The 27,106-nt window shown below is 48.2% G+C and overlaps 1 protein-coding gene across 8 annotated transcripts in view, besides 2 other annotated features; it reads right to left on the reverse strand.

The window, feature by feature from the left end:
• Nucleotides 2,117–2,813: an enhancer, noted in NCBI's record as "NANOG-H3K27ac-H3K4me1 hESC enhancer chr7:75160518-75161214 (GRCh37/hg19 assembly coordinates)". NCBI's record gives its function as "activates a minimal SCP1, AML or CMV promoter by ChIP-STARR-seq in primed H9 embryonic stem cells {active_cell/tissue: H9 hESC(primed)}" and the evidence as "EXISTENCE:reporter gene assay evidence [ECO:0000049][PMID:30033119]".
• Nucleotides 4,223–27,106, reverse strand: part of HIP1 (huntingtin interacting protein 1) — a 205,644-nt gene continuing 182,760 nt past the window's right edge. For 4 of the 8 annotated variants that reach the window (NM_005338.7, NM_001382444.1, XM_017012099.2 and 1 more), the window contains exons 18-31: nucleotides 26,951–27,094; nucleotides 26,341–26,476; nucleotides 25,365–25,451; nucleotides 25,038–25,145; nucleotides 24,378–24,514; nucleotides 19,816–19,926; nucleotides 18,680–18,738; nucleotides 17,864–17,957; nucleotides 16,013–16,113; nucleotides 15,620–15,725; nucleotides 13,776–13,899; nucleotides 12,844–12,905; nucleotides 10,248–10,356; nucleotides 4,223–9,149 (exon numbers count right to left, since the gene is read on the reverse strand). In NM_005338.7, coding sequence (NP_005329.3) covers nucleotides 9,097–9,149; nucleotides 10,248–10,356; nucleotides 12,844–12,905; nucleotides 13,776–13,899; nucleotides 15,620–15,725; nucleotides 16,013–16,113; nucleotides 17,864–17,957; nucleotides 18,680–18,738; nucleotides 19,816–19,926; nucleotides 24,378–24,514; nucleotides 25,038–25,145; nucleotides 25,365–25,451; nucleotides 26,341–26,476; nucleotides 26,951–27,094 — 1,431 coding nt within the window. In that variant the 3' untranslated portion in view covers nucleotides 4,223–9,096. The remainder of the gene's footprint in view (nucleotides 9,150–10,247; nucleotides 10,357–12,843; nucleotides 12,906–13,775; nucleotides 13,900–15,619; nucleotides 15,726–16,012; nucleotides 16,114–17,863; nucleotides 17,958–18,679; nucleotides 18,739–19,815; nucleotides 19,927–24,377; nucleotides 24,515–25,037; nucleotides 25,146–25,364; nucleotides 25,452–26,340; nucleotides 26,477–26,950; nucleotides 27,095–27,106) is intronic. The other 4 variants (XM_011516116.3, XM_047420295.1, XM_047420294.1 and 1 more) reach the window with 2 other exon arrangements.
• Nucleotides 6,136–6,385: an enhancer, noted in NCBI's record as "active region_26178". NCBI's record gives its function as "activates an Ori minimal core promoter by ATAC-STARR-seq in GM12878 lymphoblastoid cells {active_cell/tissue: GM12878}" and the evidence as "EXISTENCE:reporter gene assay evidence [ECO:0000049][PMID:35858748]".

The raw sequence follows: 27,106 nt of genomic DNA on the forward strand, positions 1-27,106 counted from the left end.
GTAGTAAAAATACATTAAACTTGGTTATTTTATTTTTTATTTATTTATTTTTATTATTATCATTTTTTTGATATGGAGTCTCACTCTCTCACCCAGGCTGGAGTGCAGTGGCGCGATCTCAGTTCACTGCAACCTCCACCGCCTGGGTTGAAGCAGTTCTTCTTCTGTCTCAGCCTCCCGAGTAGCTGGGTTTACAGGCGCCCACCACCACGCCCAGCTAATTTTTGTATTTTTAGTAGAGACGGGGTTTCGCCATGTTGGCCAGGCTGGTCTTGAACTCCTGACCTCAGGTGATCCGCCCACCTCGGCCTCCCAAAGTGCTGAGATTACAGGCGTGAGCCACTGCACCCATCCTAAAGTTGGTTATTTTATTTATTTATTTATTTATTTATTTATTTATTTTGAGACAGAGTTTCGTTCTTGTTGCCCAGGTTGGAGTGCAATGGCGCGTTCTTGGCTCATAGCAACCTCTGCCTCCCGGGTTCAAGCAATTCTCCTGCCTCAGCCTTCCGAGTAGCTGGTATTACAGGCATGCGCCACCACGCCCGGCTAATTTTGTATTTTTAGTGGGGGGGTGGGGTGGTTTCTCCATGTTAGGCTGGTCTTGAACTCCTGACCTCAGGTGATCCACCTGCCTCGGCCTTCCGAAGTGCTGGGATTACAGGCGTGAGCCACCGTGCCTGGCCTCAGTTATTTTAAATAGAGAAAATCCTCAAGGCTCCATTATGGACCCTTTTCTTTTCTTGTACTCTTTCCTTCTGTTATGGCTTTAGGTACGATTCAATTCCCATGACCTCTGACTTCTCTGAGTTAAACTTTGCATCTTCATGGGAATGTTTCAAAGGCAACTCAGCTGAGGCCAGGTGTGGTAGCTCACACCTATAATTCCAGCACTTTGGGAGGCAGAGGCAGGATGATTGCTTGAGGCCAGGATCTGGAGGCTGCAGTGAGTTATGACTGGGCCACTGCACTCCGGCCTGTGTGACAGCGCAAAATCTCCTGTCCCGGACTTTTTTTTTTTAAAAAAAAAAAGGCAATTCAGACCGGATGCCGTGGCTCACGCCTGTGATCCCAGCACTTTGGGAGGCTGAGGTGGGACGATCACTTGAGGTCAGGAATTCGAAACCAGCCTGGCCAACATGGTGAAACCTGGTCTCTACTAAAAATACAAAAAGTTAGCCGGGTGTGGTGTCGGGCGCTTGTAATCCCAGCTCCTTGGGAGGCTGAGGCAGGAGAATTGCTTGAACCCTGGAGGTGGAGGTTGCAGTGAGCTGAGATTGTGCCACTGTACTCCAGCCTGGGCAACAGAGTGTAGATTCTGTCTCAAAAAAAAAAAAAAAAAAGCAATTCAGCTCAAAACATAGTATCATAATATCTATGCTGAGCCTGGCCTTCTTCCAGGTAGATGGCACCACTAATTTCACAATCCAGAAACCCAGGACCCCTCCCTAAAAGCTCCTTCCCTAGCCCCCTTCTATGTAACCCAACTCCTGTCTGTCCATGTCCATTTTACCTGCCATGTGTCTCTCTGGCCTGCCATTTCTCCTGTCTCTCCTGCTACTATCCTGTCTCACATGCCATCACCCTTTGCCTGGACTATGACAATAACTTCCTTGTCGGTTTCCCCTGTCTACTCCAGCTCCACGCCACTCTGTCCTCCATACTGCAACCAGAATGGTCTTTTCAGAATGCAAATCTCATCATGTCACCCCTTTGCCTAAAGCCAATCAACCGCTTTCCCTTGTCTGCACAATTGAATAGACCTTTTATTTTTTATTTTTTTGAGAGGGAGGCTTGCTCTGTTGCCCAGGTTGGAGTGCAGTGGCGTGATCTTGGCTCGCTGCAACCTCTGCCTCCCAGGTTCAAGCGATTCTCGTGCCTCAGCTTCCCGAGTAGCTGGGATTACAGGCGCATGTCGCCACACCCAGCTAATTTTTGTATTTTTAGTAGAGATGGGGTTTCACCACGTTGGCCAGGCCGGTCTCGAACTCCTGACCTCGAGTGATCCTCCGCCTTGGCCTCCCAAAGTGCTGGGATTACAGGCATGAGCCACTGTGCCCAGCCTAGTAGAGCTTTTAAAGGACAGTTCAAGATGGTTTTTTTTTTTTTTTTGAGACAATGTCTGACTCTGTCGCCCAGGCTGGAGTGTGCAGTGGCACCATCATAGCTCACTGCAACCTCTGCCTCCCGGGCTCAAGCAATCCTCCTGCCTCAGTCTCCCAAGTAGCTGTGACTACAGGCATGTGCCACCACACCCAGCTAGTTTTTTGTATTTTTTGTAGAGATAGGGTTTCTTCATGTTGCCCAGGCTGGTCTTGAATTCTTGGACTCAAGTGATCCACCTGCTTGGGCCTCCTAAAGTGCTGGGATTACAGGCATGAGTCATTGCGCCCGGCCTATGCTTTAAATGGAGCAGGCTCACTTTGGCATTCTGTCACTGGGAGCAGAAAAGCCCAGCTGCAGGCAAGTGTCCCCGTCTTTGGTATTTATCCAGATCACCTTCCCACTGAGCAAGGTGATCCCACTGGTTCTTTGATCTCCTTAGTTAGAGATGCTAGCTTCTGATTACCTGCCTCATTCTCTCCTTATGTGATGAGTCATTTGGGCCAATTCTCCTGCTTACCAAGCCCAGCCTTTCCCAATCTGTGTCTCCCCTGTAGGTCCCCTGGCTTAACACACTGTATTAGGTTGCAGCGTGCTGTGGAAAGGTCGCTCTGCAGCCCAGCCCGGCTCTGTTAGCTCCCTCTGTAAATCCTCTGGTAGCTGTGACTGGTTTGCTCTGAATCCCTTTGACCAGTAGCTTCTGTCTCTGAGCAGAATTGGTCACATCTCATTTTAAGGTAATAGGTTAATTTGCATCGCAAGGGTGCAGAGGGAGGAGCCACAGCCTGAACCCCCAGATTTTATGACACCTGATCTATATGATAAGTTTTTTTTTTTTTTTAAATATTATGTTTTTTTAGACAGGGTCTCTGTCATCCAGGTTGGAGTGCAGTAGCGCAGTCATGGCTTACCGCAGCCTCGACCTCTCCAGGGGCTCACATGATTCTCCCATCTCGCCCTCCCTAGAAGCTGGGGGTACAGGTGCACACCACCATGCCCAGCTATTTTTTTTTTTTTTTGTATTTTTTATAGAGACAGGGTTTTGCCATGTTGCCCGGGCTGGTCTCAAATGCCTTGGCCTCCCAAAGTGCTGGGATTACAGGCATGAATCACCATGCCCAGCCTAAATGGCAGTGTTAACCACTTCGGGACTTTTTTTTTTTTTTTTTTTTGAGACCGAGTTTTGCTCTTGTTGCCCAGACTGGAATGCAGTGGCGTGATCTCGGCTTACCACAACCTCCGCCTCCTGGGTTCAAGTGATTCTCCTGCCTCAGCCTCCCGAGTAGCTGGGACTACAGACATATGTCACCACACTTGGCTAATTTTGTATTTTTAGTAGAGATGGGGGTTTCTCCATGTTGGTTAGGCTGGTCTTGAACTCCCGACCTCAGGTGATCTGCCCGCATCGGTCTCCCAAACTGCTGGGATTACAGGTGTGAGCCACAGTCCTTGGCCCACTTCGGGACTTTCTATTTGATCATTCCCATGGACAGGAGAGCGTACAGGGAGGATGGAACATGTTTAAGAAGTGCAAACAAATGTCTTTTTTTTTTTTTCAAGAGACAGGGTCTTGCTCTGTTGCCCAGGGTGGAGTGCAATGGCGTGATCACTGCAGCCTCAACCTCCTGGGCTGAACTGAGCCTCCTGACTCAGCCTCCCAAGTAGCTGGGACTACAGGCATATGCTACCATTCCCAGTTAATTTTGTTGTAGACGGGGTCTTGCTGTGTTGCCCAGGTTGCTCTCAAACTCCTGCACTCAAGTGATCCTCCCACTGCAGCCTCCCAAATTGCTGGGATTACAGGCATGAGCCACCATGCCCAATATCAAACTAATATTTCTTTTTTTTTTTTCCTTTTTGTGGAGAACAGCTTCTCACTATATTTTCCAGGCAGGTCTCTTAACTCCTGGGCTCAAGCTATCCTCCTGCCTCTGCCTCCCTAAGAGCTGGGATTACTGGTGTGAGCCACCACACCCGGCTCAAAACTAATATTTCTAAGATATATTCCCAGAGGTGTGGGGCTAAGTGGATTCCATGAACCCCAGGATACAAATGCAGGCTTCTCACTGGAGCCTATACCTCAGAGCCACGCTGGCTGGTCAATCACCACCACGCTCCATTGCCAGGCGGAAATATTTATTTGAAAAATTGAAAACACAGATGCAATGTATTATACAAAGAAAGGTCTTAATACCATAATAAAAGTATTGTTGGAGGGAAACAGAAGCCAGTGGCCACCTGCCCTGGGAAGGTAGGCACTCAGTGAAAAATGAAATTCATTTCAAGGAACTACCCTAATGGAAACCCAGGGGAAAGGTTAAAAACAGAAGAAAAACAAACCCAACCCTATCCCTGCAAACTGAAATGTGAAAGAGTCTGTTATAAGTTTGAGACAACTGCATTATCACCAAGATGTAACCGAACCCCCTCGGTTTGTCCCTATGAGTGGTAATCAGTTTCATTTAGGGCCTTCAAACCTGAGGTAGTTGAGGGTCACCTGAAAGACATGTCTGGAAAAATCTACTCTCAGAATCGAACCCAACAGCATTGAATTGTTTCCTGTTGCTTTGGCTCCTGACAACACCACGGTGTGGTGCTGATCTTGTATTTGGTCTGGACCTGGGAGAGGAAGGAATTTGGCAGCAAACAGCTGGCTGGTTTGCTGCGCCGATGGCTGGCAGGTCCGTGGTGGTGGTTTTCTATGCTACAGGTGGTGCAGTCTCTGGAGGACAAGGATGGCAGAGAGAGGGCAAAGCCAGTTTGCTTGGAAAGCCAATGTTGGAACTGGAGGCTTTCCCTGGCAGGATTTCCAGAGATTTGGAAAGGTGGTAGAAGGTAGCAAGATGCTGACCGGTTATTAAAGACCAGGGTCAAATGGAGCCAGGAGACCCCTCTAGACTAAGGAGCTAAGAGGGAACTTCCAGCTGCAAGCTGAGAACTAGCTCCTGCACAGGGTCGAGGGGCCAAAGCCAACTAATCTGACCGGAGCGACATGTACCTGTGATTCCCGTGTTACCTGGTGGCATAAACCTTGGTGTCTGACTTGGTAGCTGGGACAGTTCCAAGAAAAGTTGCTCTAGACAGTGGTTCTTCCAGCCACTGGGTTAGAGGGACCCGTATTCTGGTGGGATTTTAGGGGTACTGCTATGGACGGCTGCATCAGCAGACAATCTAAACTAGTCTCATTTAAACTCCTTGCTCAGATATAAAATAACCCTGCCAAGATGGCTCTTCTCTTCTATTTCTTTCTCTCTCTCTCTCTTTTTTTTTTTTGAGATGGAGTCTCACTCTGTGACCCAGGCTGGAGTGCAGTGGTGCGATCTTGGCTCACTACAACCTCTGTCCCCCGGGTTCAAGTGATTCTCCTGCCTCAGCCTCCCCAGTAGCTGGGATTATAGGCGCCTGCCACCATGCCCGGCTAATTTTTGTATTTTTAGTAGAGACGGGGTTTCACCATGTTGGCCAGGCTAGTCTTGAACTCCTGACCTCAGGTGATCCACCCGCCCCTGCCTCCCAAAGTGCTGGGATTAAACGTGTGAGACACCATGTCTGGCCTCTTTCTCTTATGTAAACAAACATCTTTTCTCTAGAGGTCTCAGGGCACTGTCTTACAAACTTAAGTAACAGATGCAGCTGTTTTTTAACTTCTTGTCGATCCTAAGCCATGATTTTGTTGCTGTCCCATCTTGTCATGACCCATTTACGCTCACCCGAGACTTGTCACTAGTGATGCTCAGTGACTCATTTAGAAGGCTTGCAGGTTCATTTTTAGCTTTAAGATGTGATTCCCGTTTTAATCCAAGGTGTGTCATTAAATAGCTCTTCATCTTCATTTTTAGAAGAGTCACAATAGGACAATTTGATTTTGTCTAGAGAATGGGGTAGCCATTCTAATCTGAGCTATTACGAAAGTAATTATGTGACATCTGACAGCTACTTCCTCATGTGACACTGAATTAGCCTCTGCTTCTGTTTAAGTGCTTTCTTAACCGTTATGACTCAGGCTAAGTCGATGAAGTTTTTAAACATTTCTGTGGCTTCTTTTTAGAGACAGGATCATTCAGATAATTTTTTGTTTGTTTTTAAAGAGATGGAGTCTCGCTCTGTCACTCAGGCTGGAGTGCAGTGGGAAATCATGGCTCATTGCAGCCTCAAACTCCTGGGCTGGGCTCTGACACAGAATCTTTTTTTTTTTGAGACAGGGTCTCACTCTGTCACCCAGGCCGGAGTGCACTGGCACAATCAGGGCTGACTGCAGCCTCGACTTCCCAAGCTCAAGCAATTCTCCCACCTTAGCTCCCCAACTAGCTGAGACTACAGGCATGCACCATCATGCCCGGCTAATTTTGTTTTTGAATTTTAGTAGAGATGAGGTCTTGCTATGATGCCCAGCCTGGTCTCAAACTCCTGAGCTCAAGCAATCATCCCGTCTTGGCCTCCCAAAGTTCTGGGATTACAGGCATGCGCCACTGTGCCCGGCTGGGCAGAGAATCTTAATTTGATCCATTACACTAGACTGTTTGCCCCATTTGTAATTTTTTTTTTTTTTTGAGACGGAGTTTTGCTCTTGTTGCCCAGGCTGGAGTACAATGGCGTGATCTCAGCTCACTGCAACCTCTGCCTCTGGGGTTCAGGTGATTCTCCTGTCTCAGCCTCCTGAGTAGCTGGGATTACGGGCACCCGTCACTACGCTCGGCTAATTTTTGGTATTTTTAGTAGAGATGGGGGTTTCACCATGTTGGACAGGCTGGTCTTGAACTCCTGACCTCAGGTGATCCTACCACCTCAGCCTCTCAAAGTGCTGGGATTACAGGCGTGAGCCACTGTGCCCGGCCACCCCTTGGTAATTGGGAACATATGAGTTAGAATGGCTGAGATCTAGAAGTGAGGACTAGCCACTTTTGGAAATGTTGACCCGCATCAAGAACACACCGATTGGTTTAGTTGCCACAACTGGGACAGGGAAGCCACGCACCATTCCTTCTGAGCCTTGAATCAAAAAAATACTAAGCAGAAAGCAGCATTCAACATTAAGACTGCCCAATTTCTAGTGCTGATACTTCCTTAGCCCAGTATGGAGGTCACACGTCTGAGTATGGTCATCCGAGGTCCTGGGAGAGAGTTTTTTGAATGTCCCACTTAGAAAATGCACAGAGAGGGAGTTGGGGAGGGGGGTGGGCTAGGGAGATGGGGGTTGGTTCACAGTGATCAAACAGAAGTCTCACAACCCGTCATGTAGCAAAACCTAGCAATATTCTGTTGGAGCAGATCCTGGGAAGTGCTTGATGGCTACCACCAATGAGTTGCTATAGATAAAGAAGGAAGACGCTGTTTTTCCAAGATCAGAAGGTCACTTAAATGCTGGGGTCCATCTAGAAGAGGAAAAGTGCTGTTGGGCTGCCCATCCCTGGCAAGCTGTTCATGTGCCCTCTGTCCTCATCCTGTCCACAGGGCAGCGAGAGCCTGGGGCATGTGGCTGAAAGGAGTTGGAGCCGCTGGCTCTGTCCTTTCTCATTTTCTCTGACCCAAGAGCTCCAAATGATCTCCTTGCTTTGGGATCCAAGTCAGTAACAGTCCAGCACCTTGGCCTTTCTTCTGATTCTTGAAGGCTGATGTAGCCGGGCAGAAAGATGAGCCTTGCTAGAGTCACACCTGAAGTTCTGATTGCTCCAAGCATCTCTTTGTAGGCTGTTGCTGCTTAAGGGAGGTTAGTAATAAATACTAAGGGTAGCAAACCAAGTATAGGGTTCTTCCCTGATGGGAGCAATTGCATCTGATCTTCCGGGTTTGTCAATTGCGTAGAAGGTGGAACGATCTTCCTATTCAAGAGGATGCCAAGGCAGACGTCTGCAGAAAGGAGTTGGGAATCACTCCCACACTCCGTCTCTGGGCCAAGGGAGACGGCCCGCTTGACAGAGACCATTCACGGACAGTTCATTCCGGCAGGGAAGTAGTGTTGTTGATCTCACCAGCTCCATTCAAGCATGTGATCAAGTTTTTGAGCCTCGTCACGGGAACTGGGCTGTGTGAACCCTCTTGTCCCTCTTTCTGTTGTCTTCTCCCTTGTAAAGGCGGACAGAGGCTTTCCGCCGGGATTCAGCTTTAGGAGGGAAAGGCACTCACTCTCCTTCTGCTTTTTGAGGAAAGCTGTCACTCAGCAGCTCCGCCTGACCCTGGAGCATGGACTGGGTGGGCCAGCACTTGGTCAGTGTGGAGGCGGAGATGGAGCACCGAGAGGCCTGGGCAGCACCATCGCTGGAGCTACCACAGTTGGGGGGCCCTGGAGACTCAGCCCCAGGGGTGTGCCCTTTGGGAGAGTTGGCTATGTGAGTGAAACTTAAAAAAAAAAACAAAACCAAAAAACCCAACCAACCACCATAAGAAGCAGTGGAAATCCATGGCACTGCCCAAAGAGGGGGAGAATGGCTTTGGCATTCACAGCCAGGACACTCCTGCCGTCCTTCTGACTGTGCAGATCTCAGGGTAGTGTCCTGGTTTGGAATCCATCAGCCCTCTGATGCTCACAAGTTTGTGCAAATGATGAAACTGAAAAGACTGAGAAGAAAACAGAAAAGAAAAGGCATAAGATCTTCCCTTTCCAAGCTGTCAACAAACAACAAGCAGCTCCTCTATTAAGGATACCCATTGTTGTGGGGGTCAAATAGTCAGCAGGACTGGATGTTGGTCCTCTCTGTTGAGTGGCCCTGCCCCCCACCACCCCTCTTCGTACCTAGGCTTGCTCATGGGCAGCACTGGCCAGCCTGGATGCTAACTAGGGAGGCGGGAAAAGAACAGAGATGACCATGGGTCCAAACAGAAAGGGTGTCGCTATGGAGGGAGTCTTTGGAAGTGTCATGCATGTCCTCGGCACTGGGTAATGGCAGTGGTGTGGCTGCCCCTGGGACTCCAAGGATTTGGCCTGTGGCTGGGGAAATAACACACACGAGATAGGTAACAAGGATTTACACTGACATATGGGGTGTTGGTTTGGCTCTATTCTTTTTCGGTTACCACTTCTTGCAGTGTAGGTGGAGATGCCTCTGTTCCTAAAAGACAATGATAATTTATGTTGCAAAGCACTCATGAATGCATTCATTCACTTAACCAACAAAACCTGCCACCATGGGGGCTCAAAAATACATTATAATTATAACCATGGTGTAATCACATAGTCCCCAAGTTTCGTGTCTAGGAATGACTAGGATCTGTCTATGGTTGGTGCCCAGAGTCAGTCAAGTCCACTAAGAGTGAACAGTCTTGGCTGTGATCAAGTTGACTGCTTTCGACATGCAGACAACAACATATAGACTCGAGGTGATGGATGGCAAGTCTCTGGGCTGGCAGCCTGAATGTGACTCCATGCCACTCCATTTCTCAGCACCTGATCCCTTCTTTTTTTTTTTTTTTTTTTTTTGAGATGGAGTCTCGCTCTGTTGCCCAGGCTGGAGTGCAGTGGCGCGATCTCGGCTCACTGCAAGCTCCGCCTCCCGGGTTCACGCCATTCTCCTGCCTCAGCCTCCTGAGTAGCTGGGACTACAGGCGCCCACCACCACGCCAGGCTAATTTTTTGTATTTTTAGTAGAGACGGGGTTTCACCGTGTTAGCCAGGATGGTCTCGATCTCCTGACCTCGTGATCCGCCCGCCTCGGCCTCCCAAAGTGCTGGGATTATAGGCGTGAGCCACCACGCCCGGCCTAGCACCTGATCCCTTCTGTCTTTTGGCAATTGTTGCCCTTCACTGGCTCTAGATAGACAGAACCTTGTAATTCACTTGTCCCTGTCTGCCAGATCTCGACTGACCACTATTTATTCATTTTTCAACTCTCTGCTGGCCAGAAACTAAATTCCCAGGGAGTTGGCAAGGCTAGCTGGGCCTGGGAGGGAATGGCAGTGAGTGAGTTATGATCAATGTTTAGGTCTTAAAAGGTGACAACAAAAGCTTTCAAATCACCATAACTTCACCCAAAGTTAGGCTTAAAGGTTATTTACAACGGAAGAGAAAACAGGTTCCATGAGGAGAGAAGAGAAGGAAGAAGCCACCGATCTGGTGGGTTCCTTGTTCTGTTCCATTCTAGGGGAAGGCCCTGGCCACACAGCTTCCCCTCCCTGCTGCGGGTTAGTGCCCATCCTTGGAGTCAGCTTACCTTCTTCCCAGCCCTCAGCAACACCAGCAAGCTCGTAGTGCTTTTTCCGAAGCTCTCCCAGTTTTTGACGCTCCTTCTGCAATTCATTTTCTAGCTCTAGCACCCTAACCTGTAAGGGAAATTAAGTGGGATTTTCTCTTAATCATCTCTCAGAGATTTAATTTTTATTTATTTTTTTATAGAGATGGGGTCTTGTTCTGCTGCCCAGGCTGGTAGTGAACTCCTGGCCTCAAGAGATCCTCCTGTCTTGGCCTCCCAAAGTGCTGAGATTACAGGCATGAAACACCATGCCCAGCCTACATCTATCTTATTTTGATTACTCCCTTTCTGCTGCATTGTGAATTCCTCTTCTTCCATATTATTCACCGTTTCCATACTTTATCTGGCCCTCAATTTCAATTCTCTTCTTTGCTCTAATTTTTCCATTCTCCCATTCATTTATCTATCCCAGTAGCTCTTATGCTTTACTCACTGTGATCTTCTACTGGAAGTGAATGATGCTTTACAAATGCCTAAATGGTAGGTGGGCTTATCTTCTGTTCCTCTGAGAAATCACTATCTAAAAACAACTCTAATGTTTAGCCTAACTGTATGGTGAGTACCAATCTAGTTGTAACCCTTCTTCAATCCCAGTTCCCTAGAAACCCAGGTAGGAAGCAAATATGATGGTTCTGATATCTTTCAGGTATTTGTGCAACTTACACTTATTACTGCTACAGGAAAAAGCCTGGAAAATCTTACTATAAAGGAAAGGGTGATCTTGTCTAGCTCTACTTCTCATTAATGTAATTTATTTTATTTCTTAATTCAAGGAATATTTGCTGGCCGGGCATGGTGGCTTATGCCCGTAATCCCAGCACTTTGGGAGGCCAACGTGGGTGGATCACCTGGGGTCAGGAGTTAGAGACTAGCCTGACAAACATGATGAAACCCCGTCTCTACTAAAAATATACAAAATTAGCCAGGTGTGGTGGTGCATGTCTGTAATCCCAGCTACTTTGGAGGCTGAGGTAGGAGAATCGCTTGAACCTGGAAGGCGGAGGTTGCAGTGAACCAAGATCGTGCCATTGTACTCACTCCAGCCTAGGCAACAGAGCAAGACTCGGTCTCAAAAAAAAAAAAAAAAAAGAAGGAAAAATTAGCTGGGCATGGTGGTGTGTATCTGTAGTCCCAGCTACTCAGGAGGCTGAGGTGGGAGGATCCGCCTGAGCCCAGGAGTTTGAGGCTGCAGTGAGCTGTGATCACACCAATGCACTCCAGCCTGGGGAACAGAGCAAGGCCCTGACTCAAAAAAAGAAAAAAAAATGCTGAGTGACACATCTTGGAGTACTTTAACAATTCCAATTTGAAATTCACCCCAAGACTGATGACCAGTTATTCTAGAAAAACTATGTCAATTTTTTTTTAAAGGATCTCGCTGATACCTATTTTACATAATATGACTTTATAGAACAACAGAGAGAAATAATGGCATTGCCTTTGATGAGTTAAAAGGATTTTCTCTTTTAAAACTAAAAGTCATACGCAAATAATTCATACCAGAAGTCTAAAACAGTGTTTATAGTAAGACTATTAAGTTTGTGGATACTAAGAGATCCTGGATAACATGTAAAGGAACGTTAGTCCAAGAATAGTGGGCAAGAGTTAAGAGTCTGATCTTGGCTGGGTGTGGTGGCTCACACCTGTAATCCCAGCCCTTTGGGAGGCTGAGGCAGGAGGGTTGTGTGAGGCCAGGAGTTGAGACCAGCCTGGGCAACATAGTAAGACCCCGTCTCTATCTTATTTAAAAAAAAAAAAGGGCCGGTGGCTCACGCCTGTAATCCCAGCACTTTGGAAGGCCCAGGTGGGCAGATCACAAGGTCAGGAGTTTGAGACCAGCCTGGCCAGCATGGTGAAACCTTATCTCTATTAAAAATAAAAAATTAAGGCTGGGCACGGTGGCTCACGCTTGTAATCCCAGCAGTTTGGGAGGCCAAGGCAGGCAGATCACGAGGTCAGGAGATCGAGACCATCCTGGCTAACACGGTGAAACCCTGTCTCTACTAAAAATACAAAAAATTAGCCAGGCATGGTGGTGGGCGCCTGTAGTTCCAGCTACTCAGAGAGGCTGAGGCAGGAGAATGGCGTGAACCTGAGAGAGGGAGCTTGCAGTGAGCCGAGATCACACCACTGCACTCCAGCCTGGGCGACAGAGCAAGACTCCGTCTCAAAAAAAAAAAAAAAATTAGCTAGGTGTGGTGACGCACGTCTGTAATCCCAGCTACTTGGGAGGTTGAAGTAGAAGAATTGCTTGAACCTGGGAGGTGGAGAGTGCGGTGAGCCAAGATCACGCCACTGCACTCCAGTCTGGGCGACAGGACGAGACTCCGTCTCAAAAAAGAAAAAAAACAAAACAAGACAAACAAAAAAAAAAAACAAGGTGATTCACTAATCACCTTCTCTACCTCCACTGTTTCTTCCGGCAAGATTTACATTCAGTCTTGGGTTAGTAGGTGCACCTGTGTTCATTTCCCTCTGGCTTTTCTCCATGGGAATAATATTCAGAGTCCATGTCTAGGCAATAGAGGCTATCTAGACTTACAGATGGAGCTCTCACCTGAGAATCCATCTCTTGGCGTTTGATCTGTGTCAGCGTCATGCTTGAGAAGTCCATGTTGTCTGCAAGGATGGAAACAAGAAGGTCTCATCAAATTCTACCCTGGCTGACTGGCACCTGAGAGGCAGCCAATGCCAATGCTCTGTGGAAACGCCTGGCTTGCCATTTGTCAACACTGCATGAAAGTAAGTGAGGGGGCCAGACAACGGTGGCTCACTCCTGTAATCCTAGCTCTTTGGGAGGCTGAGGTGGGTGGATCATGAGGTCAGGAGTTTGAGACCAGCCTGGCCAACATGGTGAAACCCCGTCTTTACTAAAAATACAAAAATTAGCTGGGTGCAGTGGTGGGCGCCTGTAATTCCAGCTACTTGGGAGGCTAAGGCAAGAGAATCACTTGAACCCTGGAGGCGGAGGTTGCAGTGAGCCAAGATTGCGCCATTGCACTCCAGCCTGGGCAACAAGAGAAAGACTCCATCTAAAAAAAAGAAAAAAAAATGGCAGGGCGCGGTGGCTCACACCTATAATCCCAGCAAACTTTGGGAGGCCAAGGTGGGCAGATCACCTGAGGTGAGGAGTTCGAGACCAGCTTGGCTAACATAGTGAAACCCCGTCTCTACTAAAAATACAAAAATTAGCCAGGCATGGTGGCGGGCGCCTGTAATCCTAGCTACTCGGGAAGCTGAGGCAGGAGAATCGTGTGAACCAGGGAGGTGGAGGTTGCAGTGAGCAGAGATGGTACCACTGCACTCCAGCCTGGGCGACAGAGTGAGACCCTGTCTCAAAAACAGAAATAAAGAAAAAATAAAATAAAAAGATGAAAAATATGAAAGAATTTAGACACAGTCCTGTGGGATTTGGTTGGGATCACAGGGAAGGATGCAGAGAAGAGCTCAACAGGGTGGGTAAGAAAAGGGTCCCTTTGGAAAGGCTACCTGTCTCTTCGATCTGTGATTTGCCGGAAATGGTTGAGGCCACAACGCCGGCAGTGGCCTGGTTCACTCCCCGAGAGGCCTGCTGCAGCTGGGCTAGGTTGGGGCTGTCCTTATCAGCTTTCACCTACCAGGACAAAGCAGATTTAGGTTCATACAACACCTAGAGCAACAAGGACTGAATCAGATAATTGCTCTGATGGTTCTTAGCAAACATATGTGGGCCAAACGGCAATCACCAATCAGCTTCTCAAAATCTGCTGACTATAGTCAGCTCCTGACATATCTATCATATAAAAAGTTATTCCTGGCTTCTTTGCTTGGTGGATCCCAAACTCTAAGCATTATCACTTATTTGGACAATGTGCCCAGTTGTGGAAACCAATTTGGGATGACAAGAAATAAGGACAAATAAAGAACACTCTGGGATACTGTGAAACTCTTAAAAAGGATTTGGGGCACACTTTACATGAGAATCAGTTGGGGGCATTGATGATATTGATTCAAAAAATAATTTTTTTTTAGACAGAGTTTGCTCTTGTTGCTCAGGCTGGAGTGCAATGGCATGATCTTAGCTCACTGCAACCTCCACCTCCCAGGTTCAAGCAATTCTCCTGCCTCAGCCTCCCAAGCAGCTGGGATTACAAGTGCCCGCCACCACACCCGGCTAATTTTTTGTATTTTTAGTAGAAACTGGATTTCACCATGTTGGCCAGGCTGGTCTTGAACTCCCGACCTCAGGCCTCCTAAAAGTGCTGGGATTACAGGAGCGAGCCATCGTGCCCGGCCTGATTCAAATTTGAACACTAATAAAGAGGGGTTGTAGAATCTCACAGCCAAGCCAGGTAACCTGTTCATGATGCCAACCTATTCCTTATTCGAGTGTTTCTTGAATGCCAGGACTGCTAATCGGAAGTTGGCATTGCTGGGACTCTCTAAGGCCACTTGTAACAGATGTGAGGAAAGCCACGAGGGACATGTGTGGCACACCTGGGTACAGACTGGGTACAGACGTTCCTTGCTGTCACATGAAAGGCCTCTAAGGCCAGGTGTGGTGGCTCACGCCTGTAATCCCAGCACTTTGGGAGGCTGAGGTGGGTGGATCACAAGGTCAGGAGATCGAGGCCATCCTGGCTAACGCGGTGAAACCCCGTCTCCACTAAAAATACAAAAAATTAGCTGGGCGTGGTGGCACGTGTCTGTAGTCCCAGCTACTCGGGAGGCTGAGTCAGGAGAATCACTTGAACCCGGGAGGCAGAGGTTGCAGTGAGCTGAGATCACGCCACTGCACTCCAGCCTGGGTGACAGAGCAAGGCTCTGTCTCCAAAAAAAAAAAAAAAAAAGCCTCTGTAAGAGGATAGTATGGGACCCTTAACAGGGTGAATTTTTATTTGGAATCGAATCCACCTGAGCCCTGGATAGATCATTTGTTCTCAAGGCCAGTTCCATCCCATCATCCAAGTACTATCTAACCTAGCCAAGTACTCTCTAACTCCTAAGTAGTCTCTAACCTAGCCAAGTACCATCTAACCTAACCAAGTACCATCTAACCTAGCCAAGTACTCTCTAACCTAGCCAAGTACTATCTAACGTAGCCAAGTATTCTCTAATCCTTTAGTATTCTCTAACCCAGCCAAGTACCATCTAACCTAGCCAAGTACTCTCTAACCCCTTAGTACTCTTTAACCTAGCCAAGTACAGTCTAACCTAGCCAAGTGCCATCTAACCTGGCCAAGTACTCTCTAACTCAGCCAAGTACTGCCTAACGCAGCCAAGTACTCTTTAACCTAGCCTAGTACTCTCTAACCAGGCCTTCCAGCGTCCTAGGAGGTCCAGCCAGGTCCTACCTTGGATGCAGCCACAAGCTGGGCTGTGCTAGCAGCAATTTCATGAGAACACACCATTAGCTCCTCAAATTTCCCTCTGCCTTGTACCACCAGATCAGCTGCATCCCTGATGGAAAACGACAAGAGGGACTAGGTTACGGGCAAATGAGCTGCAACTCCTCCACAATCCCACCTCCAGACCACCCCATCGCCCTTGGCTAAACAGGGAGGGGAGGCTGCCTGCCCTGTGTCCCCTGGGAGAGCCAGGCTCCCTTGTAAACTCGGTCCTATTGACTTCCTGATCAATAGTTTATTTCTAAGGGACAGATTTTTTTTTCCCTCCTTAGCTATTGTTTGGAGTGGATCAATGGAAGAGGGGTCATGGGAGGACCCTTGGTACCAATAGATACTTACACCATGACAGTGGCTCCCCAGCCCACAGCCTTGGAGGCTGAGATAAGTCCTTCTGTCCATCGAGAGTTCTTGGCATAAAACTCTTTAGGGGATGCTGTACCCTAGGGAAATAAAAAATAGTAATAGCCACCTTTTATTGAGCATGTACTATATGGCAGGTGCTTTTATACATATATTATCCCAAATCATCCTCATAGTAACTCTGAGACATAAGCATTAGTATTCCCATTTTACAAAAAAGAAGAAGATTCAGAGACCAAAATGGCTTTTCCAGCTGGGTGCAGTGGCGCTCGCCTGTAATCCCAGCACTTTGGGAGGCTGAGGCAGGTGGATCACTTGAGGTCAGGAGTTCAAGACCAGCTTGGGCAACATGGTGAAACCCTGTCTCTATTAAAAATACAAAAATTAGCTAGGTGTGGTGGTGGGTGCCTGTGATCCCAGCTACTCAGGAGGCTGAGGCAGGACAATCACTTGAACCTAGGAGGCGGAGGTTGCAGTGAGCCGAGATCGCGTCACTGCACTCTAGCCTGAGCAACAGAGCGAGATTCTGTCTCAAACAAAACAAAACAAAACCCTGGCTAGGCGCGGTGGTTCACGCCTGTAATCCCAGCACTTTGCGAGGCCAAGGCGGGCAGATCACGAGGTCAAGAGATTGAGACCATCCTGTCTAACATGGTGAAACTCCGTCTCTACTAAAAATACAAAAATTAGCTGGGCGTGGTGTGTGCCTGGAATCCCAGCTACTCGGGAGGCTGAGGCAGGAGAATCGCTTGAACCCAGGAGGCAGAGGTTGCAGTGAGCCGAGATTGCACCACTGCATTCTAGCCTGGCGACAGAGCGAGACTCAGTCTCAAAAACAAACAAACAAGCAAACAAAAAACCCAAAACAACAAAACAACAAACAAAAAGACTTTTCCCAAGGTCATGCAGGAAATAAATGGAAGTAAATCTTGGGCTTTTCTGACTCCAAAGCCTGTAGCATTTCTACCATACCATGACATTTCTGTATTGTATATATAAGAATAAATATTCTCATATGAATAAGTTATGATCTGAAAAGAGTCTAGCCACTCTCTGCGATTTGCCAAAAAAAGGAGACTACACAGTGAATACATTAAAAAAAAATATTTCTACTTGGATTTGAAAAATGTTTTTATGCTTTGGAAGTGTCTGATAGTCTGAGAATCTGCAGATAATCCTTGTCCAGTCCATCTTTCTATTTTAGAAACAGAAAACATCAGCTCTCAGGAAGATAAAAGGCACCAGCAAAGCAGGCCTGGCTGCTTGCTTTATGGCACCGTTCTCAGGCTCATTAACCCCTCCCCTGGACTTACGCCTCCCGAGCTGCGGCGGCATATGGGGAAATGGGAAAAAAACAAGATGATGATAATCCCAGCAAAGGTGTGAGACCACGAAGTGGTGCGTTGATAAGAGGCTGACAGCAGAGTCTATTTGTAAGGGTGAGTTGACTCTGCTGTTAGAAACAGATTAGGCCGAACTCCCTGTGAAAAGCCAGTCTCAAGCTGGCATTCAGGATCTGCTTCTTTTGCAAAAGTCCTCATGTCCCCCTCAGAGTACCCAGGTTTGCAATGTAAAAAGGGCTCCCACAGCAAGTTCCAACAATGTCTGCCTGTGCGAAGGGAGCTGGAGTTGGGACACATGCCTGGCCACCCTCTGGGGAGGTCCTGGAGCTCTGACTTCTCCCCAGGGCCTCTGCTGATATCTACAGGAGTGGCTGCTCTGTACTCAGGTGGACACACAGAGTAAGACGGCAGCATCACAGAGTCCGTTGGAGCGGGAGTCTGTCACCAATGCCTCCTCTTCCTGCCCAGGGCCCACACCCACGCTCACCCTGCCGCTCTCCACAATCTCTCTCTGGAGGTCCTTAGAGGCCACGATGAGCACCTGAATAGCTTGCATGAGGCTGGTACAGCAACCAAGGATCCTGCCAAACAAACAAGTCGAGGATACACTGAGATCAAGATCCAAGATCAATGAACACGACGGTTCTCTTCCCCACTCCTAGCCAAAGGCAAGCTTGGAATGGGAAAGGGAGGTAAGAAGGGTGCTGAGGTTGCTGGAACATTCTGCGGGGAGGCACCGAAGGAGAGGCTGGGGAGTGAGAGAGATCTAATTGTGGGTCTCCATCGTAAGGAATAGTGAAATTGTGATTCCTAGGACTTCTTTTCTTCTTTTTTGAGACAGAGTCTTGCTCTGTCGCCCAGGCTAGAGTGCAGAGGCACGATCTTGGCTCACTGCAACCTCCACCTCCCAGGTTCAAGTGATTCTCCTGCCTCAGCCTCCAAAGTAGCTGGGATTACATGCATGCACCACCACGCCTGGCTAATTTTTGTATTTTTAGTAAAGATGACTTTTCACCACATTGGGCAGGCTGGTCTCGAACTCCCGACCTCAGGTGATCCTCCCTCCTCAGCCTCCCAAAGTGCTGGGATTACAGGCGGGAGCTACCGCGCGGGTTTCTTTTCTATAGTGAAACAGCAATATTGCTGTCATCATTAATACTGTTATTGATGATTACATCAACTCAGCCCTTCCCCGTGGCTGCTACTGCTCTCCTCTAATTCCCTAATAAGTATGCAAAGTATAGACCAATGTCAGGAAGACAGATCCTGCTCCCCTAGGTCCCACCATGCCGCTCAGACCGACCTTTCATTCACCTCCAATTTGACTCCTGTGTCTCCTGCTCGGGATTTGCTGAGCATCTCCTGTGAAAAAGAAGCATGGTTTCTAAATGTGCCTTGAATATTAAGGATCCACTAATGTCTTACTATACTTTCAGTCCAACATCGTGTGGTAGCTGGGAAACCTGAATCTGGAAGTCCCCAAGTCCCTGCCCACATTCTTGAGAGAGTCAGAAAAGAATCCAGACTCTAACCTATTCAGGGGGAGTGCAGCTGCAGTGGGCTGGCTCTGTGATCCGTGTCATTTTGTTTTGTTTTGAGATGGAGTCTCACTCTGTCACCCAGGCTGGAGTGAGCGGTACGATCTCGGCTCACTGCAACCTCCGCCTCCTGGGTTCAAGTGATTCTTCTGCCTCAGCCTTCTGAGTGGCTGGGATTACAGGCACGCGCCACCACGCCCAGCTAATTTTTGTATGTTTAGTAGAGACCAGGTTTCACCATGTTGTCCAGGCTGGTCTCAAACTCCTGACCTCATGATCTGCCTGCCTCGGCCTCCCAAAGTGCTGGGAATACAGGCGTGAGCCACCACGCCTGGCCAGAACCCAGGATGTTCTGACACCAAAGTATCTGATTCTTGAGGAAACTAATCACCTTCTCTCATGAGGACCTTCTCTCATGAGGACCTTCTCATTTTCTATCACTCAGAAAAACTAGCGAGTTCAGATTTTGGTCTCTCTTTTTTTTTTTTATAATTTAAAAACATTTTTACAGACAGGGTCTCACTCTCTCACCCAGGCTAGAGTGCAGTGGTGCAATCATGGCTCACTGTAGCCTCCAATTCCTGGGCTCAAGTGATCCTCCTGCAGCCTCTGGAGTAGCTGGGACTATAAGCATGCACCACCATGCCCAGCTAATTATTTTATCTTTTGTAGAGATGGGGTCTTGCTATGATGTCCAGGCTGGTCTCAAACTCCTGGACTCAAGTGATCCTCCCAAGGTGCTGGGGTTACAGGCATGAGCCACTGTGCCTGGCAAATTCTGGTTTCTGTCTTAGGGGGTTGCCATGGCCTTAATGAACGACTGTGACATGTTTAATGAGCAGTGTTGCAGAAGGGCAGCTGCAAAGGCATCGTTTCAGGAGATCCTGCAGGAACCTCCTACCTCTATTCTGGCCGTGGCAGTTTCAATAGCAGCTGAAGTGGCCGCCATCTCCTTGTCCACCAGGTCCCCCAGCTCCTCCTGCTTGATGTCCAGTCCCCTGGGCAGGAGCTCCTGTGAACACATCACAAAGGCTGAACTGACCTTGGGGCCTCCTGTCTCTTCTCCTCTGCCATCTGTAACCCTTACAAGATGGCAAGGCAGGAGGCCACCCAGCAAACACCTTCTGCAAGCCACAGGGGTTGTGGGGGGGTCTTTTGCAGACCCCATCTTGTCCTCTCTGTGACACAAACTCTGGAACCTCATGCTCCTCCTCACTCAGGATCCACCTCCTTCCAGAATGCCATCGCTGCCTCCCCCTGCAAGGCCATTCCGCCACCACTAAGACCCCAGTCCCTTAGTTGTGCAGTGTCAATTGTACTAGCTACACAGGAGGTATTTTTTTACAATTTTTCTTTTTCTTTTGCTTTCTTTCTTTTCTTTTCTTTTTTTTTTTTTTTTGAGACAGAGTCTCAATCTGTTGCCCAGGCTGGAGTACAGTGGCACAATCTCGGCTCACTGCAGCCTCCGCCTCCCGGGCTCAAGGGATTATCCTGCCTCAGCCTCCCAAGTAGCTGGGATTGCAGGTTTGCACCACCATGCCCAGCTAATTTTTATATTTTTAGTAGAGATGGGTTTCACTATTTTGCCCAGGCTGGTCTCAAACTCCTGACCTCAGGTAATCCTCCTGCCTCAGCCTCCCAAAGTGCTGGGATTACAGGTGTAAGCCACCACACCTGGCCCTAATTTTTTATTTTTTTGAGACACAGTCTTGCCCTGTCACCAGAGATGGAGTGCAGTGGCATGATCATAGCTCACTGCAGCCTCGACCTTCCATGCTCAAGCAATTCTCCCACCTCTACCACCAGAGTATCTGGGAGTACAGAGGTGCACCACCAAGCCCGGATAATTGTTTTTTTTTTTTTTTTAATAGAGATGGGGTCTCACTATGTTGCCCAGGCTGGTCTTGAATTCCTGGGCTCAAGTGATCCTCCTGTCTTGGCTTCCCAATGTGCTGGGATTGAATTACTATACCTGGCCTACAACTTTTTCAAATACAGATGATATCTTCCACTTTGACCCTGACTTAACTTTGCTTCCACAGTGATCATATGAGGCGGGTATTATTCCTACTGTGCAGATAGGAAGCCAGGGATCAGAGGTAGAACGTCTTGACCACAGTTATGGTAACAAATGGCAGGGCAGGGATTTGAACTAAGGTCTGACAAACAGCAAAGCCTATGATTTTTAAAACATGATGTGTTATACATACTAAGGTATAAAATATATATGAATGGTTCAAAGGATAAGAATAAAGACGCATGTTATCCACCACCCAACTTAAAACTTAAGGAATGCTGTAAGAAACATCAATACCTTTGGAATCCTATTTGAACTTGTATGTGCCCTGATTCTATCTCCCTTACTCCCTGCCTTCTACCCCAAGAGACACAGAATTCAAGAGCGTGGTTGTTGTGTCTTATTTTATTTTTATTTTTTAAAGACAAAACATAAAAGCCTGTTGCCCAGGCTAGAGTGCAGTGGTGCGATCATAGCTCACTGCAGCCTCCCACTCCTGGGCTCAAGTGATCCTCCCTGCCTCAGCCTCCTGAGTAGCTGGGACAACGGGCACACACCACTAGGCTCTGCTAACTTTTAAACTTTTTTGTAGAGTCAGAGTCTTGCTTTGTAGCCCAGGCTGTATCAAACTCCTGGCCTCAAGTGATCCTCCCGCTTCGGCCTCCCAAAGTGCTGGGATTTTCAGACATGTGCCACTATGCCTGGCCTGTCTTATTATTATTATTTTTTAATTCCACATAGATGCATCCCTATTAAGTTTGAATGTTTGAGTCTTTATATAAAAGGAATCCTACTGTATATATTTTTCCATGACTTGATTTTTCACTCAACATTCTATGTGTGAGATTCATCCTAATACCTAGTAATTCTGATTCTATGTATATACTCTAGAGAAACTGACATGTGTGCATATATGATCATAGGGGCAAATTAATAACAACCCAAACTGGAAATAACCCAAGTGTCCATCACCAAGAGAACAGACGGATGAATTAAGCGATATTCACACAATAGATAATGAGAGAGCAGTGAAAATGAATTTATCTTCTTGGATTAATCTCACAGAATGTGGAGTGAAAAAGCCAGTTGTAGAAGAATATATACAGTAGGACTCCATTTACCTGTAGTCTATATCATGTGAAACTAACTCTATTATTTAGGGAGGCAAAGATGTAGATGATAATTTTTTTTTTTTTTTTTTTTTTTTTTGAGGCAGTGTCTCACTCTGTCGCCCAGGCTGGAGTGCAGTGGTGCAATCTCGGCTCACTGCAGCCTCCGCCTCCCAGGCTCAAAGGATTATCCTGCCTCAGCCTCTCAAGTAGCTGGGATTACAGGTATGTGCTGGGATTACAAAATTAGCCACCACAACTGGCTAATTTTGTATTTTTAATAGAGATGGAGTTTCACTATATTGGCCAGGCTGGTCTCAAACTCCTGGCCTCAAGTGATCCACCCACCTCAGCCTCCCAAAGTGCTGGGATTACAGGCGTGAGCCACCACACCTGGCCCTGATCTTTTTATTTTTTCTTTTTAGAGACAGGGTCTTACTCTCTCACCCAGGCTGGAGTACAGTGGTTCACTGCAGGTGAACCACTCTGCAGAGTACACTCTGCAATTCACTGCAGAGTACACGGTTCACTGCAGTCTTGAGCTCCCAGGCTTAGGTGATCCTCCTGCCTCAGCCTCCTGAGTAGCTGGGACCAAAAGTGCTCACCATCACACCCGGCCAATTTTTAAATTTGTTGTAGAGACAGGGCGCCACTAAGTTGCCCAGGCTGGTCTCAAATTCCTGGCCTCAATTGATCCACCCACCTTGGCTGGATGTGGTCTTTTTATTATCTTCTTCTGGAACTCCAATTAGACAGTCTATCCTCATGGCTTTTATTTTTTATTTATTTTTTGAGTGGAGTTTCGCTCCTGTTGCCCAGGTTGGAGTGCAAAGGCACGATCTTAGCTCACTGCAACCTCAGCCTCCCAGGTTCAAGTGATTCTCCTGCCTCAGCCTCCTAAGTAGCTGGGATTACAGGCGCCTACCATCACGCCTGGCTAATTTTTTGTACTTTTAGTAGAGATGGGGTTTTGCCATGTTGGCCAGGCTGGTCTAGAACTCCTGACCTCAGGTGATCCACCTGCCTCGGCCTCCCAAAATGTTGGGATTACAGGCGTGAGCCACCGTGCCTGGCCCTATCCTTGTATCTTAACCAATATATTCCAATTCATAACACTGGGGAAAAAATGAAAAAAAACTGTACTGCATAGAAATGGTTTTCTTATTTTTCTTTTCCATAGAGTCCATGTCTTCTCTGTCCCTATATATACTTAACCCAATTTCTGGTATACAGGACATATTTATTTATAGCAGAGGCAGGGTCTCACTCTGTTGCCTAGGCTGGAGTGCAGTGGCACAATCATAGCTCACTGTGGCCTCCAAATCCTGGGCTCAAGCGATCCTCCTGCCTCAGCCTCCCGAGTAGCTGGGACTACAGGTGCGTGACATCACACCTGTCTAATTAAAAAAAAAATTTTATTTTGTAGAGACAGGGTCTCACTATGTTGCCTAGGCTGATATTGAACTCCTGGCCTCAAGTGATCCTCCTGCCTCGGCCTCCCAAAGTGCAGGGATTACAGGTGTGAGCCACCATGCTCGGCACTACATCTTTAGTAAATGAATGAACACAGTGTTATTTCCATTTTGGGTATTACCTGCCCACCTAGATAAAAATCCTCAGAGACAGGGGAGCTGCCTATACTTCTTTGATATTGCCTAGTGTAATGATGACAACATAGTAGATTCTCAGCTAACAGCCAGTGAATTAAATATAGCTGGAAAGTCCTTCAGGAGGTTTTTCCTTTTTAAATTTTTTTTTTTTTAATTTTTAAAGAGACAGGGTCTCATTTTGTTGCCTAGGCCTGTCTCAAACTTCTGGGATCAAGTGATCCTTTTTTTTTTCGAGATAGATCTCACTCTTATGCCCAGGCTGGAGTGCAATGGCATGATCTCGGTGCACTGCAACCTCCACCTCCTGGGTTCAAGCAATTCTCTTGACTCCACCTCCCAGTACCTGGGATTATAGGCATGCACCACTATGCTGGGTTGATTTTTGTATTTTTAGTAGAGACAGGGTTTCACCCTGTTGGCCAGGCTGGTCTCTAGCTCTTGACCTCAAGTGATCTGCCCACCTCAGCCTCCCAAAGTGCTGGGATTACAGGCGTGAGCCATCCCGTCTAGCCTCAAGTGATCCTCCTGACTCGGCCTCCCAAAGTGCTGGGATTACACGCATAAATCACTGCACCCGGCCAGATTTTCCAATTTTAACAATCTCTTTCTAGAATCAAGTTCTAAGTGCAGAAAGAACTAGCTCAGAACATCACCGATTCCCTGGCCATTCACCAGCACGCACACCCAGAAGAATAACAATGCTCCTCAATGATACTACTCCAAGTACCTCGCCGATGGCCTTGATCTTGCTCAGGCAGTTCCTCATGGCTGTGCTGTCGGCATTCTCAAGGCTTCCCTCTTCCTCCAGGGAGGCCAGGTAGGCGAGGGTTTCCCTGCCATACTGCTTACAGGCCTCGGTCAGTGCTGGAGATACAAGGCAATAGACACTTTTTTTTTGAGATGGAGTCTCGCTCTTGTTGCCCAGGCTGGAGTGCAGTGGCGCCATCTCGGCTCACTGCAAACTCCGCCTCCTGAGTTCAAGCGATTCTCCTGCCTCGGCCTCCCAAGTAGCTGGGATTACGGGTGCGCCACCATGCCCGGCTAATTTTTGTATTTTTAGTAGAGACGGGGTTTCGCCATGTTGGCCAGGCTGGTCTCGAACTCCTGACCTCAGGTGATCTGCCCACCTCGTCCTCCCAAAGTGTTACGGCGATTACAGGCGTGAACCATTGCATCTGGCCCATCGTTTTTGTATCTTTAGTAGAGATGGGGTTTTGCCATGTTGGCCAGGCTGTTCTTGAACTCCCGACCTCAAGTGATCTGCCCGCCTCAGCCTCCCAAAGTGCTGGAGTTACAGGCATGAGCCACTGCGCCCGGCCCAACAGAGACTTTTAAAGGCCCCCTGCTCCCCTGGTCCATGAACAGCCCCTCATGCCCCGGTACTCACAGTCGGCAGGCTCAGGTGGGGCTCTGAGGCAGGTGGTGGCACCATGAGCAATGGCGTCGCTGGTCAAGTGGGCCAGCAGGGTTATGGAATGGAGAAGTCCACTGATGTCTGCCAGGATTGGAAAGAGAAGTTTCTCAGGTCTGGTTGATGGTGACACTTTCATACCCTCTCCTCCCGTTTTATGAGTTGCCTACATGCCTTTCTTGTATGAGTTGCCTACATGCCTTTCTTGATGCAGAGGGACCTGTCACTATCCCCGCATTCAGGTGCTTCTGAACCCTGTCTGGCCATCACTAGCCGACAGAGACTGTCCTTGGCCATTCTTACCTTCTGGGCAGGCCAGATACTGGCTCCAGCTTTTCTCCAGTTGCTCGATGCAGCTGGAAATGGATGTGACCGTGGAGAGGAGGTGATCTGTGAGAGGGAACACAGGGCAAGGTCAGAGCAAGTTCTCATAGCTGGCTTCATCCTCGTTAATTAAGCACTGAATGGAGGAGCTTACCTAGTGGGTAAGCTTCCTGCCTAGACGTGAAGTTCATGAGTAATCACCTCTTGATTCAGACCATAGTTTTTTCCTTAGAGAAACAGAATTGTCTGCTCCTGGTGGGTGTTTTATCAGTGTGACCCACTGTCTAAAGCAGTAGCTATCACACCTGGGGGCTTTAGAAAATACTACTGCTGGGCCTGGCGTGGTGTCTCATGCCTGTAATTCCAGCACTTTGAGAGGCCAAGGTGGGAGTTCAGAAGTTTGGGACCATCCTGGGCAATAGAGTGAGACCTCGTCTCTACCAAAAATTAAAAAATTAGCCAAGGCCAGGCATGGTGGCTCATGCCTGTAATCCCAGCACTTTGGGAGGCCAAGGTGGGTGGATAGCCTGAGCCCAGGTCTTCAAGACCAGTCTGAGCAACAAACCGAAACCAAAAATTAGCTGGGCGTGGTGTTGCGTGCCTGTAGTCCCAGCTACTTGGGAGAATGAGTGGGGAGGATTGTGTGAGCCCAGGAAGCGGAGGTTGCAGTGAGCCACGGCACTGCACTCTAGCCTGAGCAACAGAGTAAGACCCTATCTCAAAAAGCGGGGGGGCGGGGGGGGGGAAGAAAATACTAAAATACTAGTGTATAGGCACTAATGCACAGAGTTTCCACATGTAACTGATCTAGGATGGGGCCTGGGCGCCCCTAAGGTAATGCTGACATGCTGCTGGGCTGAGAGCCCCTGAGCTAAGTCTCACATGAGATTCAACATCAACAGAGTCTCAGGCTGTAAGGACCTGGCCCCTGCCAGCTGGGCAATTGCAAGTGTACCTGCAGACCCAGCGCAGCTGATGAGAGGAGGTTCTTCAAGCTGGTTCAGGGCGTCTTGTATCACCTGCTCCGCAGCCTTCCTGGACCCCACCAGAAGCATTTTTCGTTGGTCTTTGGCAAGCTGGCACATAGATTCCTAAAAATGGTCCAGGGAGGTGAGAGTCTGCCCTAGACTCCATAATGAACCTGAGCAGGATGACCTGGCTGGGGCTCTTAGCATCTTAGCTCAAGTCATGGCCAATGAGGTCCAAGCCAGTAAGCCTGAGACAGAGAAAGGCGCTTTAACTGTGTGCACAGGATGTGCGGCTGCCCACGATGTGCGGCTGCCCACAGAGGCTGTGGGGATGGATCACTGCGCCCGCTTCTCATGGCTGGGAGGAGATGCCAAACTTCTCTTCTCATACAAAAAAGACAGCAGTTTGCTTTCCCTCATGGACTCTGCAGGCAATGCAGGGCCTGCTGGCATTACACCTACAGAATGTCTGCACAATCAGGCCAAGGCCCCAAACCCCTTCTCAGCAGCCCCGGGGTCCTCCCAGCCTCCGTGCATGCGCAGAGGCCCTCGGTGGGAATTCACAGGTGCTCGCTCGTGTCCATGTCCGTGACTTGCCTCTGTGCTGGCCAGTTTGAGCTGAGTGTCCTGCAGTTCTTTCCGAAGAGCAGATAATTCCTCCTCCCTATGAGCTGCGCCACTCACCAGGCTGTCCCGCTCCTTCTCTAGCTCGGCGAACTCGGCTGCCCAGTTTGCTTCTGACTGCAAAGGTGA

This window comes from Homo sapiens, chromosome 7 (genome assembly GCF_000001405.40).
Source record: "Homo sapiens chromosome 7, GRCh38.p14 Primary Assembly".
Lineage (NCBI taxonomy): Eukaryota > Metazoa > Chordata > Mammalia > Primates > Hominidae > Homo > Homo sapiens.